General features: G+C 50.1%; 1 protein-coding gene across 3 annotated transcripts in view; it reads right to left on the bottom strand.

Moving 5' to 3' along the window:
• The window catches only part of TF (transferrin), a 134,644-nt gene that overhangs the window by 38,365 nt on the left and 81,043 nt on the right, over nucleotides 1-15,236 (bottom strand). Inside the window, exons 1-8 of one of the 3 annotated variants that reach the window (NM_001063.4) lie at nucleotides 11,794-11,884; nucleotides 9,693-9,865; nucleotides 4,574-4,682; nucleotides 3,606-3,782; nucleotides 2,782-2,914; nucleotides 1,940-1,995; nucleotides 1,268-1,446; nucleotides 331-508 (exon numbers count right to left, since the gene is read on the bottom strand). In NM_001063.4, coding sequence (NP_001054.2) covers nucleotides 331-508; nucleotides 1,268-1,446; nucleotides 1,940-1,995; nucleotides 2,782-2,914; nucleotides 3,606-3,782; nucleotides 4,574-4,682; nucleotides 9,693-9,865; nucleotides 11,794-11,836 — 1,048 coding nt within the window. In that variant the 5' untranslated portion in view covers nucleotides 11,837-11,884. Of the gene's footprint in view, nucleotides 1-330; nucleotides 509-1,267; nucleotides 1,447-1,939; nucleotides 1,996-2,781; nucleotides 2,915-3,605; nucleotides 3,783-4,573; nucleotides 4,683-9,692; nucleotides 9,866-11,793; nucleotides 11,885-15,236 lie in introns of those variants that run through there. The other 2 variants (NM_001354703.2, NM_001354704.2) reach the window with 2 other exon arrangements.

Raw genomic sequence — 15,236 nt, 5'->3', positions numbered from 1 at the left:
TATAGCAATTTTGTTCTATTTCACTTACTCTGTGATAAGCTAATTGCCTTCACAGAGTAGGTAAGGCAGTCCTGATTGATGCAAAGGAAATACTGGAACCAACCCACGTCATTTTAAATGTGGATTTCCTGTAAAGCCCATGGTGACATCAAGGCCATCTCATAATGACTAACGCCATTCAGCATCAGTCTAACACTGGGCTCACAGACAGGTCAGAAAAAGGAGCATCAGGAGAGGCGTGCAGGTCCCTGAAAAGACTCAATCTCTGGCCCCTGTGCTCACCAGGTTTCCCAAGTGCTTGTGGTCACCTGGTTCTTCCCAGGTACTCACATGTGCCTTCCCGTAGATTCCGGATGGCAGTGACATACTCATAGCCCAGGTACATCTTGGCATCCATCCTGGGGGGGACTTTTAAAAACCCGTGGGCAGAGTCCTTAAACAGCAGGTCCTTCCCATGAGGAGAGCTGAATAGTTGGAATTCTTTTGATTTGTCTTTGCCAAAATGTTCCTGTTCATAGAAAAACAGAATAGTGGATGGCAACACAGAAGAAAGGAGGCTGAGAAATGGGACTGAAGAGAAAAGAAATCTCTGCAGGAAACAACATGAAAAAGTTCAAGATGCCAGGAGAGAGGGCAGTCGGACCTGCTCCTGCTCACCCAGCACTTCCTCTGCCTGTAGCCCTCGTGGGTCCGCGATTTGCCTGAACCTGCTTCTGTGCCTGTCTCCCGGAACGGGTTGAGACATCGGTGAGAACAAGAAACGTGGCTAATCCAGAGGCTGCCCTGTGTGGTTACCAGTCAAACTCTCAGTGGACAGATGGGACGGCTCGGCAAGAGGAAGCTGGCTGAGCCCAAATCACACAGCTCTTGGGAAGTAAAGCCGCTGTGCAGGCAGCCCCCTCACAGCCGGGCTGAGGGGCATGGGGAGAGAGACCATTTCCTTCTGGGAGGGTCATGGAAAGCCTCCTTGGGGAGGGGTTTAGCTTTGGGCCTTGAAGTTTAGGTAGAAAGGAATGCAACAGAGCAATACAGAGCCTCTTCAGGTGTCACCAGCCAGAAAGGCAAGGGCGGCAGACGGTAGCACCACAGCAGGCTCCCTGCTGCTCTGTGGGGAGTCCCAGCTTTTAGAGAACTTAGTGACATGTGGCATGGCTCCCACTGTATCCTGAACACACAGACTTCCAGAGTGACAAGATGGCCAGGAGGAAAACCCCCAAATCCAAGCAGGGAGCACTAAGCTGGAGGGGAGGATGGCAGGTGGGGATACCTGGGCCTGGTTGAGAAGCTCCCAGATCAAGTCCTCCTTGCCGCCCATACTTCGGGCCACGACGGTATGAGAAGGGACCTGGGCCAAGTGGCAGTCCTTGTATTCATCTACCGGCTTCCGGGTGTTGTCCAGGCAAAGCAGCTCATACTGGTCCCTGTCAGCCTTGTTTGCCAAGTTCTCTGGGGAGGGAAAGCCCAGGTGAGCTTAACACAGGAGAGCCATGGGCTGTGGTGCCCATCCTTGAAATTCAATTGATCATAGAAAGTATGAGCTGAGAGGTCTGGAGTGAGCACTGAAGGCCAGAGAACATGCGGGAGAATGACTCGCTCAAGAGCCCACAGCCAGGTAAAGGCTTCTGATGCCCATGTAGCAGTGATTGCTCCTCATTCCACCATGAGCCTGATCTTAGCAGCACCAACCCCCAGTCTTTGGTTATGGCAACACTACCCCAGAGGCAGAGGCACCGTGTGGAGAGATTGAATGATGGAAAGAGGCCCAGGAATCCAGATGGGGACCCCGTAGGTACCTAACTCTGCACAGGTGGAAACCCAGGCAATGATAAAGGAGAAATACAGTATGCTCATTTCCAATTACTGAGCATGAAAAAGGGAACACAGAAAAAGAACACCCACTACTTGGAGTGGCCCTGGTGGATTCTTGTCCCATTCTTACCAAATATAGTCGAGTGCTTGACAAAGGCCACATCCCCAGCACCATCCTTCAGACACCTGGGTCAAAGAAACACATCAGCAGGGCTCCTGCAGGGCAGGCCCTTCTCCTGCACCTGGAGAGTCTGATCACACTGTCCAGCACTCACACTAGGATAGAGCCTGGTGCAGCCCCGTAGCTGAAGCAACACCATGGTGTGCAGACCTCCAGCGTAGTGCTGAGATGGGGGAATGAGCTCACACGAGATAAAAAGCCCTCATAACCCAAAGAAGCAAAATGCAACTGAAGATATTTTCATGTGAAAAGAGCTTTTAAACTTCTGGAATAGAAGATAATGGTATAGTGTCTCCTGAGGGTGAAAATGTGCCTTTGGCTGGTTGTAAAACTTTAGGATATAATCAAGGTAAAAAGAGAAAGCAAGAAATCAGCTTCCCAGATAGAGACGGTGATGGGGGCAGGAGACAGGCAGTGTGCTGAGCAGGTAACACTGCTGAGATTGAGGGAAGAGGGCCAGTCCCTGGACAGTGGGCCCAGACACTAGAGGCATGATTGTCCTTTCAGGCTCTGCCCGATCCACCGAGAGGAGACACTGACCAGGCTTGAGGGCTCTGGGGAGAAAGGAAGGGTCCCCAGGAAAAGGACCTACTTGTCAGGGTCAGATGAAAGGGAACATGGGCTGGCTTGGCCTAGGAGTCCCAGGTTGTGCTTCTGACTCACTGGGAGGGGATTAGGCCACCTCGATGCCCCTGTAGGCAGGCAGGGCTCGGCTTTGGACCAGCAAAGAACTCTCACCCTGAGGACATTTGGCACTTTGGCCACCATGGAGCAGCAGACATCTCACTCACTTGAAGGCTCCCGAGTAGCCGAAGTATTGGTTAAGGGTGGAGCAGCCACACCCTGGACACAGTTGACACAGCTGGGGGAAGTCCGTCCCATCCGCACAAGGGGCACAGCTGCCCGAGAAGAAATTGGCCACTGCTGCTCAGCACAGAGAAATGGACAACAGAGCATGAGTGAGGCTGGCCACAGCCAATGGCATCACCCCACCCAGGCCCATCAGGGAACAGAGGGGACTAAAACCAAACCAGCACATGCAGCCCCAGCTTGCCCTTATGCTAACTCATCAAGATCAAGGATTTCTAATAGGAACAAGTTGACCTCTGTCTGGCCACCATCCATCAGAGGAAACAGGCCTATGCTTCCCACTAACCAAGGCCTATCTCGGGTCTTTCTCAGAGCACCTTCTCCCTGCTTTGTCAGAGGCTGGAACAGCTCAGAGAGAGGTCCCCTCTGGGATCCATGCCCCAGACATGAGAACTGCTTAAGAGAGGTGCAGGGCTCCAGAGAAACCTCCAGGAAAGAAATCCAGAGAAGTGGACAAGAGAACCACCATCGCCTAGACTGAAACCCTCTGCCGAGCCTTGCGCCCTTTCCTCACTCATCAGAACAGCCTCTGCTGGGGTTTTGGAAGCTCAGAGCAGAAAAAAGCTCAGCTCCACCTCCCAAGTGCTGCTGGTGCAGCAGACCTGCCAGTTTAAAGTCTGTTAACCTCTTTCCCCCACCTGAGTTCATCCCACATGTCTGCTGATGGTGACTGTCTAGTGCAGCCTGTGTGGGCATCTGGAGCAGAGGCAGCTGCTCGAGGGCACCCAGACTCCTGCCAGCTTACCTTTCTCAAGAGGTTTACGTGGCTCAGGTAAGTCACAGTAAAGTAAGCCTATGGGGATGTTCCACCCAGCGGACCTGCCTAGACCCGTGTGGCAGGACTTCTTGCCTCGAAGCTGGTTCATCTGGAAGCCACTATCCTTCTTCACCACAGCAACAGCATAATAGAAAGTCTGTGGATCTGCAAAGGCACAGTGTGAATGGAAGGCCCTCAGCCTGGTGCAGGGAAACATGGCTCATCACCACCGGACTCTTGAGGAGGGAGGGGAGCGGAGAGGCCATGCTTTTACTGGACTGGGCGATAAGGAGTGGGGAATCAGGAAAACCTTCCTAGGGTTGCAGGGGAGAGAGAAGACCATAGAAGGAATATTTATAATATTACCCCTCCAGGCAAACAGGGGCAAGAAGGCCACACGCACATGTGTCCTGAATGCTTTGCCTCCCCTGGCCCTGCAGCGTGTCTGCCTACACCTACCAACCTCAGCCACCAGGAAACTGGAGCTGTGGTAACAGAGGCCCATCAAAGTATTTCATGTCCCCTGGCACAGGCCCAGAGACAGTCAGGTTGATCTCAGAAGACTTGCAGGGCTGCTGGCCTCTGAGTGTGTGCTCCAGAGTGACCCCTCCTGTGTGAGTGGTACCTATGGCTCCAGAGGCCTCCAGGGACCCTAGACATATCAGTAGACCGCAGTAGCCTTCAGGTCAAGCTGCACACAGCCTGCTGTGTTTCTCTGATAAGCATATGCCCCTGGCCCAGGGCTCAGTTTTAGGAGCACCAGTCCTCAGCCAGCCCAAAGCCCCCAGAGGCCTTGATGTGTGGCTGTGGCAGCTGACAGGGCCCCTCATTCTCTACTCACTCTCCAAAGATGAATGTTCATTATATCTGATATCCAAAACCTGCCTGTAAAACACAGCACTCAGCATATAGAATAAGGATGACAACTCCTTCCTGGGGTCCCAGGGAGAACTTACCCTCTTTTGACCCATAGAACTCTGCCACCACAGGCTTCAGGTTATTGGGAGCCAGGTAAGCATCATACACCAAACCTGCATCCAGTGTCACAGCATCCGCTTCGTTTGCCTGAAAGAGAACAGGCCAGTCCTGGATGAAGCCTTGACTTCCAAGGAAGGCCCACCTCAACCCACACAAGTAGAGAGTGGCTACCAGGACTCCACGGACCCAGGGCCAGAACTTGACTAGACCACGCACAGCCCTGCTGGCTTCAGTTGACTCTGTCTCCCTCGCAAGGGCACTTAGCCACCACATTCCTATTCCTTCTGCATAGAGGGAGTGATGGATTGTGTTTCTCTTTTCCCCGGTGAGGTGCCCAGCTCCTGGCCAAAAATCCTACGTGACTTTACCGTAGGCAATTACGAAGGCTTAACCTGGCAGGCTCCGTGGGAGAAAGCCGCCCTCGCCACCCCAGACTCAGAGCACAGCCAGTGCAATGCAGTCTCTGGAGGGGACTCTGCTGTCAAGGACACAGCTCTCTTGGGCTGGCCACGCTCTTCTTACACCTGTTTTCATTCCTAGCCCATGACCTTTGCTCAGAGCCCTCTTTATTTTGAGACTTCCTTTGAGGTCTTCCTCAGGTGCTTCTGTGGAGATTTTTTTTCTGGGGGAAGATGGGAACCTTGAAAACATTCGTCTTCACTCTGACTCAGTACTCAATGCTCTTCCTTCCTGTCCTGGGTCCATAAAACTGCATGACCCTTTTGCTGAGGGATTGGGCACTTTCTCTGGGTTTAGCTTCTTGGTGATACTATGTACTGAATGATCAAAAGCTTGATTATTATTTCCATTTTTGCTCATCTCTGGTATAATTGTCTACTCCAACACATGGGCAGCTCATCTCTCTTTCTCTCTCAGCTCCATTTTACAAGTGAGAAATATGAGGCACAGAAAGGTTAAGTCACTTCCCTGGGCCACATAGCCAGTAAGTCATGGAGCTGGGATTTCAGTGCAGACATTCCGGGTTTATTTCTTATCATTACACTGTTACTTCAGGTTATGTTCCTTTTTGACTTTGTGCTTCTGTAAGCCCTCATCTTTACATCAACAGGTCCCTTGAAATATTATAGCTGCCTTCTTACTAGATCTATAATTTATTTTCTTTTTATGTAAATCCTTAAAGTGAGCCCAACCATCTTTTATTTAGACACTTAAACACATAGTTTTACTCCTTTTTTGTTTTAAATGTCTTTAATCAAAATGATTTTTCCAGAAGCCCTTGCCAGTTCTCTATGAAGATTTCTTATTGATCAAATTACAAAGCAGGCCAGGTATAGTGGCTCATACCTTGTACTTCCAGCACTTTGGGAAGCCTAGGCAAGTGGATCACCTGAGGTTAGGAGTTCGAGACCAGCCTAGCCAATATGGTGAAACACTGTCTCTACCAAAACAAACAAACAAAAATTAGCTGGGCTTGGTGGCACATGCCTGTAATACCAGCCACTTGGGAAGCTGAGGCAGGAGAATCGCTTGAACCTGGGATGCAGAGGTTGCAGTGAGCCGAGATTGTACCACTGCACTCTAGCCTAGGTGACAGAGCAAGACTCTCAAAAAAAAAAAAAAAAATTACAAAGCAAAAGCTATAGTTCCATGAACTTTGTTGTGTTACAATCAAGTAATAAGACAATAGTATTTCTAAATGAAATAAAATATGTTGTAAGACAAACTATATCAGCAGTCTCGCTCTTGTCCCTCAGGCTTGAGTGCAATGGCTCAATCTCGGCTCACTGTAACCTCTGCCTCCAGGGTTCAAACGATTCTCCTGCCTCTGCCTCCCAAGTAGCTGGGATTAAGGCGCCTGCCATCACACCCGGCTAATTTTTGTATTTTTTTTAGTAGAGATGGGGTTTCACCATGTTGGCCAGGCTGGTCTCAAACTCCTGACCTCAGGTGATCCACCCGCCTCGGCCTCCCAAAGTGCTGGGATTACAGGCGTGAGCCACCGCACCCAGCCAATTTTAACCATTTTCAAGTGTACATTTTAGTGGCATTAAGTACATGCATTCACGTTGTTTTATAGCCATCACATCTATCCATCTCCAGAAACTGAAACTCTTTACACATTAAACAATTACCTCCTATTTCTCCCCCACTCCAGCCCCTGGTAGTCATTATGCTACTTTCTGTTTCTATAAATTTGACTATTCTAGATACTTCATAAAAGTGGAACTTTGGGAGGCCGAGACGGGCGGATCACGAGGTCAGGAGATCGAGACCATACTGGCTAACACGGTGAAACCCCGTCTCTACTAAAAATACAAAAATTAGCCGGGCATGGTGGCGCGCGCCTGTAGTCCCAGCTACACGGGAGGCTGAGGCAGGAGAATGGCGTGAACCCGGGAGGCGGAGCTTGCAGTGAGTCGAGATCGCGCCACTGCACTCCAGCCTGGGCGACAGAGCGAAACTCCGTCTCAAAAAAAAAAAAAAAAAAAAAGTGGAATCTTACAATATTTGTCCTTTTGTATCTAGCTTGCTTCACTTATGTTTTCAAGGTTCATCTCAGTGTAGCATATATCAGAGTTTCATTTATTTTTAAGGCTAAAAATATTTCATCATTTGTGTTTACCACATTTTATTTATCTATTCACTCATCAATGGATATTTGGGTTGTAAAACATATTTTTAATATACCACAATACAAAACAAAATTAACAGACATCATGGGCCTTTCTGTTCCACAACAACTAGACCTTATATATGAAACACACTTCGTGGTTTTGTTTAATCTGCAAACACCTTCCCTTCCCCAGTCCTCACATTGTTGAATAAAAATGAAGCAAACAGGGTGCAGCACACCAACATGGCACATGTGTACATATGTAACAAACCTGCATGTTGTGCACTTGTACCCTAGAACTTAAAGTATAATAAAATATATATATATTTTTTAAAAAATGAAGCAAACAAACGAGAGCTTTGCCCATTGCAGTGGGGTTGGGAGAGTGGTCAGGAACCTGGTCTTTCTTTGCCAAGACACCAAGAAATCACTGGTGCCTCGGGGGCTCAGGGAGCCAAAGAGCTAAGGCCTAAAACACAGCGTCCAGCCCTAGAGCTGCAGGGTTCCCAGGGGAACCTGCGCCAGCTGGGAGGGACAGGATTATAATCAAGCAAGCTCTCACAAGTCAAAATAACCAAACCCAGAAGAGGGAAAGCTACAGAGAGAAGGCTGGAGGGAAGCCAAGGGGAAGCCAGCAGAAAGACACGGAAAACCCCAGCGCGGGGATTGAGGGAAGCCAGGCTGCATCTGGATGTTTCTTCCACCTTTTCCCTTCGGCTAACCTACTGCTTGCTTTGTGCTGAGAACTGTAGAATTTCCCACACTTGACACATCTGTCCAAACCTCTGCACTAAGAGACCTGACCAGACTCTGGCATGGCTCCTAGCAGAACAAATCTGTGTCCCTAGGATGGCCCGGTTCCCCTTAAAGTGCTTGCCTGAGAAAACTCAGTGCTGCCAGGAAAATGTACCTGTTTCTTCTACTCAACACACAACTGATGATAGGCCCCTGACCTCCCTTTCCAAGAGAATTTACTAAAAAGGACTTAAAACTGTGAATATGTATCTCTTGAAACTCACAAGCATCTCTCTCAAGGACTGAGAGCCATTCCTTTGCAACACAATCATCAGGATGGATAGAGTGTCTGTCTCGCAGTCTCTGCGGGAGAATAGAGTCCTAATCGAGAGAACTGCCAGCTATCAGACACAGCTGGCCTCCTCACATTTACACTGACCAGCCCTTTCTACCTTTTTACTTCTCTGACTCTACAGAGCCCTGCGTTCTCCCCTCCCTCATTCTCCCTTTAAAATGCTCACATCACCACTGCACAAATCAGAATGGAGCCTAGCTCTTTCCCCCACTGTCAGCAGTTACTGAATGAAACCTATTGTCACTGCCTAAACTAATATCTGGCTGTGCTTATCTTTGACAGCTCCCATCACCCTGGCCTCCCACTAGCAACTTAAATAAGCCCACTCTGCTCTGCCTCAGGCCCTTTGCATATGCTCTTGTTTGCTGCCTGGTGTATTTTACACTGGAGCCCACCCAGGCTCAGTCCTTCATTACATCTCTCTCAGAGAGATGGTCTCTGACCACCCAGGACAAAGCAGGTTTTTCTGTGAGTCCCTGTCAGAACACTCTCCTTTTTCCCTCCATTGTACATCCCCACATTTTGGAATTAGTAGTTTACTTATTCGTGTGTTTTTCTGCTCTCCTGACTAGCCCATGAGCTCCCTGAGGGTAAGGACCAATGTGTTTAATTCACCACTGCAGCCCCATTGCCCAGCACAGGATCTGACATGTACAGATGGGCAGGGGCAACGTTGAAAGAATGAAGAGCATTTTTGTAGACCTAAGAACAAAAAGATCAGCTGTCACCTGCAATCAGGACACTTTACTCTTCCCCCTGCATGCATCACTCATCTTCCCAGTTGTGTATCAAAAGCTGCCAAAGAAGGTTATATAATAATTTTGATAGTGGGCATTCTTATTTATTTATTTATTTTGAGATGGAGCCTCACTCTGTCACCTAGGCTGGAGTGCAGTGGCAGGATCTTGGCTCACTGCAACCTCTGCCTCCCCGGTTCAAGTGATTCTCCTGCCTCAGCCTCCCAAGTAGCTGGGATTACAGGCATGCACCACCATGCCCAGCTAATTTTTATATTTTTTAGTAGAGATGGGGTTTCGCCATGTTGGCCAGGCTGGTCTCGAACTCCTGACCTCAGGTGATCCACCTGCCTCAGCCTCCCAAAGTGCTAGGATTTCAGGCATGAGCCACCGCGCCCAGCCTGATAGCAGGCATTCTTATATTTTCGCCAAGTTCAGAGAACCTAGGGTCTCAAAACAGTCACCCTTGCGTCTACTGTGTCTGGAAAGCAAAAGTTAATGTGCTTTTTGACTTTTGCTTTCCAGACACATTAAAGAAAACCTCCCCATTTCCACTTTTGAAGTGATTTTAGTAAGTCAAGGTTGACTGCCCCATATATCAGCCTCCTACCTGTGAGTAAAGAATTGTTCCAAAGTGACTGGAAACAGAGAAAGTATGGCTTTCTTCCACTCTCTTTTAGGCAGCAGCGACTTACCGCAATGGCCCTGATGCAATCAAGGTAGGAGGCTTTCTTCACACAAGCAACACTGGGACCATCGGATGGAATGACGCTTTTCATATGGTCGCGGAAACTCTGGCACTTAGTGGCCTCATGCTCCGACACTGCACACCATCTCACAGTTTTATCAGGGACAGCCAGACACAGCCCTGGGGGAGAGAGGCCAGAGGTGGAAGGGCCCACTCCCTATGCTGAGGGAGAGACAGCATCGCCCCTAGAAAGGCCTTGACAGCCACATCCCCTCAGTCCTGTCCTCCTCTCACTCCTGTCCATGAACACTACAGGGCACAAGTTCTACTGCATTCTGAGTCTGAGCCAATAGAAGGTTGCCCTAATGGCCTCCCAGTTTCCTACTGACCACCCTCTGCTGGCCAGAGGGGTGCAGGCATGGCCATCACCTCCCAGCTGGAGATGACAATCTGCTCCTCTGTATCCGCCTTGTCTCCTCCCATCACTGTCCTGGCCCCTGGCCCCCCATGGAACATAAGCCTCAGTATGCACAGGGCGTTTTCAGCTACCCCAACACATTGGCTTGCTACCTCAACTATGGAAAACCAGCGGGGGAGGAATTGCCATCTTTTTGAGAAGAGGGAGTGAGACTCAGAGAATGATGCCTTTTTTTTTTTTTAACCCAAGGTCACCCTGCTTGTCGTTGGCCAAGCCAGGCCTAGAATCTGGGTCTCCAGACTCTGGGTCTGCTACTCAGGGCACAAAAGAAGAAAACATTCTGAGTTACACCCCTTCTTGGCCAGTAGTTGAGGGTAAATTAACGAAAAGAATTAATTTGTCTGTAACTCTTGTCTGTTGCTCTCTGTTTAGGAAGAACTAAAAACTCCACAAATTCAACAGTCTCCCCTCTGTCTCCACTGAACTATCCCTCCATTTTCACCACACTTTTTGGCTGCCATTCACAAAAAAAGCTGAAGCCAGCCATGGGTAACTATTAAAATCCATGTGGTTGCAGAGACAGCATCCCTATCACATGAGCTTTTGCCCTGTCCCCAAGGCCCTCTGTCATCTCCACTCCTTGTGGGCCACCACAGCAAGGCTGACTCACTGGCTCTGAAGAAGATCCACAAAGCCTGTGGAGAGGAGGCCCACAGCTCTCCAGGATGCATGAGGAGGGGCCACCAGGGATGGCCACCCCAGCGACCCCCATTTTCCCTCTTGGCCCATGGGAAATCCTAGGAGGCAACATAAGCCTGTGGCAGCCCCTCCACAAAGCCCTGCCTCCAGAGTTCCCATAGGCGAGAATGTGTCCTCAGTGGAGCATTACCTTGCACAGCCTGTGAAGTGCTCTGTGCGGGGATAAAGGCAAGTAACGTGGGGTCCTCTCTCAAGGAATTGCTAGCTTATGGGGAGAGAAAACTAAACGTGGAAGCCCCAACAGTGTGACAAATGCCCCATGAATGGCAGGCAGAAGTTAGAGTATGAAGGGGGCCCCACCTCAGGAGGTCGGGGAGTGTGGCGTCAGCCACTGCCCCATAGCAGGATGTGTGCAACATCTGCCACTGGTACTCAGCATCTGCCACCTCGCTGACCCTCATTTGACCCTCCCAGGCAAGTGCTGTGATGACCCCCTCCCTGGTGAGGAGCCGGCCAGGACTTGGATCCAAGAAGTCTGGCTTCAAACCCCATGCTCTGACCGCTCGATGGCACCGCTTCCTTGGCAGGACATCTACAGCTCCCAGGGCACCCAGGGGACATCAGCCTCTGAAAGGGGAATGGTCAGACCCGGGAGGCCTTGAATGCCATGCTAAGGAGTTCGGACTTGACAAGAGGCAGCAGCAAAGGGTTTTGATAACCTGGTTAGACGTGCTCTGATTTATTGTATTTCACTGCTGCAAGATTTACTGGACAAAGAGGAGGAGGGGGAGAAGACAGTGAGTGCAGTGAAAGGTGTCTAGAAGCCCAAGCAAAGGCCAGGGGTGGGGCGTAGAGAGGCAATGGAAAGGCACCCAGACACCCAGGCTTCCAGCCTGAGCGCGGAGTGCATGCAGGCTGCGCGGTGGCCGCCCGGGTTGCAGGGAACGCGCGGGCCAGCGACTCTGCGGTGCTACCCCGTGCCCGCACTCACCCAGGACGGCGCAGACCAGCAGGGCTCCCACGGCGAGCCTCATCTTCCGGGTGCGGCGCTGAGCAGCGAGCACAGTCGGACTCGCTTCTGTGCAGCCTCCGGCGCCCCGCGTCCCTTTATTCCATTCCCGGCCTGGGCGGGCTGGGCGCAATCTTTGACCTCCCGTGTTTGTGCAGCCGGGTTGCCCAATCGCCCCTCTCCCAACCCCCCTTCCTTACTCGTCCCACTGATCACCTCATTTTCTGAGCTCTGGAGACGACCCGCGAGTGGAAGGAGTCCAGCACAGAAATGTTGATGGGAAGGGACATGAAGCACAATGCAGCCATTGTCATCGCGGCTCGCTCGGTGCCAGGAGCGGCTACGGCGGGCTGGGAGCCGGGGGGCTCTGCTCCTGACTCCAGGGCTGCAGAGCTGGTCCGTGCCACCAGTCCTATCTGCGCAGTCCACAGAGGAAGACTCCGAGGCTGGAGAGGGAAAAGAACTGCGCCCAGACCCCACACTAGAACTGCAGAATGACAGGCAAAGCCCCTTTTGGGGGAGGATGCAGGAGAAACAAGCTGGGCTCAAGGTCAAAGACAGACTCAGCACCTTTTGCTCCCCACCAGGTGTCCCTCGAAATCCTGCTCCTGGGCTCTCAAAGGTCCCCCACGGAGGAGCTGCTCCCTCTTCCTGCCCCGCTGAGCTCAGGCTCCTGGGCTGGAAAACTTCCCGCCCTCAAGCTTCCTGTGGGACACCTTAGACTAGGGACAGAGTCATAGGGGAAGATGAACTCCCTCCAACAAGAAGGTTCCAGGAACATGGTCAAGACACTGTGAGGCTCAGAACAAAGTGTCATCTTAGCACAAAGCAAGCGGCCCAGTGGACGGTGTGGCCTGTTCTTACAGCCTGGGGCCACCATGTCCCCCTCTAGTCGATGAGTCTCCTAACCAGTTTAATTACACATCCTTATCATGAAAAATATTGAACTTGTGCCTTCTATATGCTTATATTTTAACTAAAAAATGTGTACACTTCAATCATGCACAAGGAATAGAAATTTGTAAAAGGATGAGCTAAAGATGAAACTCATTTTCAAATGTCGTTTTGCTTATGCGGCCTTATACAGGATTATTATCTCAAGGCATAATATACTTGGGGAAAGGTCAAGATTCCTTCCACGAAGTGTAAATCCAGACTTCAGAGATTTTGCCAAAAGTTACTTCTTATCCAACCTGACCAGATGGTCATTCATTCTGTCTCATGTTTTAGTTGACCAAGCTCATATCAAGCCTAGTGGACACGTCAGGTCAGTCATTTGATTTTTGTTCACTTGTTTTTGTGTTGTCAGAATTGTCTCCTAATTCTAGTTTCTTTGTAAGAATCTTTTTAAGGCATGTGTGCATCTCGTGAAGGTTGGAGTTAAAGCCAGATTATCTAATCTGTACATCCGTTTAACTGGGCACATACAAACCACAAAGTATGGAAATAAAAATGCCAAAACAAAGGGCAGGGTCGGCACTCCCCTTTTCACCTTTAGCATTGTGAGGTGAACCCCATCTTCCCTTAGGACACCTGAAAGGCTCCATCTGTCATGACTGCAGACTCAGGTGGGAGATAGGGCCAATTCACACATTCAATATGAATGAATGATAATTTGTTAATCTTTTGCAATAACAATAAATATAACTGGAAGTTAGATTATGTTCTCCCACACTCCAAAAGATTATCTCATATGCAAAGGGGTTACATACCTCCCACTTTAGAGTCCACTACAGAAGCTTTCTGTTTACAGTGAGGACAGAAGTCAAGTCTGGCTTTCCCAACACATCAGCCTCACCAGCGAGGGAGAGTGACCACTGCTGCCCTGTCTTACTCCCCCCTTGCCCGTCCACGGGCCCCTTGTGCTTGAGCCATAGGGAAAGAAGACTGTTAGCATGAGGGCCATATTCCTACTGCCCCTGCAGCAGGCTCTAGGCAGTGGTCTGGATTCATTTGGAGACCTTGAGGTAAGGATGTGAGATGAGCAGGAAAAGTCAGGGGCAAGGCTAACTGGAAGGCACCCAGCAGAGCAGCATGCACACATACAGCTGATGCATGGACAGGCCCTGTAGTAAGCTTGCAGGGTCTGCCAGAGAGCAGGAAGTGCAGTTACGAAAGGTTGAGCCCATGCCACAAACTCAGGGAAGCTCAACGCAGGGCATGGAAAGAAGATGGTCAGTGATTCTCCTTTTCTGGAGCCCATCTACATTCGTAGACTAAGCCCCGCTGAGGCCAGTCCTCCAGCCACAGGCCCATAGCCTAGCCAGAGCCCCTCAGCAGGGAGCAACTACCTACTGGCCAGGCTGAGTCCTCTCCAGAGCAGCCAGCTCTATGCCCTGTCCTCAGAAGGGTCCTTTGAGTCCAAGCCCAAGACAGGTGCTGGGAAGGAAATATACAGCCTCATGGGATATGAAGGAAGCTCAGACAAGACATAGAGAACTGGTGCTCCCACGTCATCTACACACACCTAGATGGAGAGGCCAGGGCCTTGGCTTTTGCTCAAGAGGACAACAGCAGAGCTTCGTGCTTGCCATTCCTTGGATGGGGTAGGCAGGGGTGAGGCCAGCTTTGGGGTGTACATGTGTGCATGGCCCTAGCTGTATGGGGTGCCTATGCCTGTATATGTCTATAGGAGCATGTGAAGGTAAGAGGTTAACATTACAGCGCTCCATGTCCATGACACTTGTACCTGTGCTCTCATTTATATTCTTTAATTCTATACCAGAGATGTTCTGGAGTTGGAGAATCACTGTCCCTTTTAATAGCTTAATGATGGCTGAGATTTACTGGGAGCTTCACTGAGCACTTACCATACCCCTCTGACTTTGGTGCTTTAGCATCTGTATCTTACAGATGAGACAAGGAAACTGAGGACAAGAGAGGATGATATCTTGTTCAAGGTCAGCTGCAAAGTCAGAATACAAAAGAAGGCAGTCTGGTTCCAGAGTGTACACATCCACCAGGGACACTGCCTCTCCCAGGAAACCAGGACATGCAGGGGCCAAGGAGCTCATCTGGGGTCACACCGAGAGAGGGACAGACATGAGACTCCCAGCCTTGCCATTTCTCCAAAAGCACACAGCCCCCAGGGCTTTGCCAGCACAGGGGCTGGTCAGTCTGGGAGAGGTCTGAGTACCAACTGCAGATCCTTAGACATGGACTGGCTTGATTATGCTCAGCTGGAAGAAAATATCATGTTTTTATCCCCTTGTATGTGTCAGGCACTGTCCTGGGGCAAGATCATTGGGGCAGCCATGCAAGATAAGATCAGTACCTCCATTTATCACATGTGGTCATTACAGTCAAATGATGGGTCCTTATTCATGGAGCTCTGAGACCTGAACTCAAACTTCCTAAATCTTGCCCTTCTCCAGACCACAGCTGCCTTCTTGATATTGACCTTCTCTTTATTTATTTAGTGGGGG

Source organism: Homo sapiens, chromosome 3 (assembly GCF_000001405.40).
Source record: "Homo sapiens chromosome 3, GRCh38.p14 Primary Assembly".
NCBI lineage: Eukaryota > Metazoa > Chordata > Mammalia > Primates > Hominidae > Homo > Homo sapiens.
The sequence above is the reverse complement of the archived record's forward strand: the minus strand, read 5'-3'. Positions and strand labels throughout refer to the sequence as shown.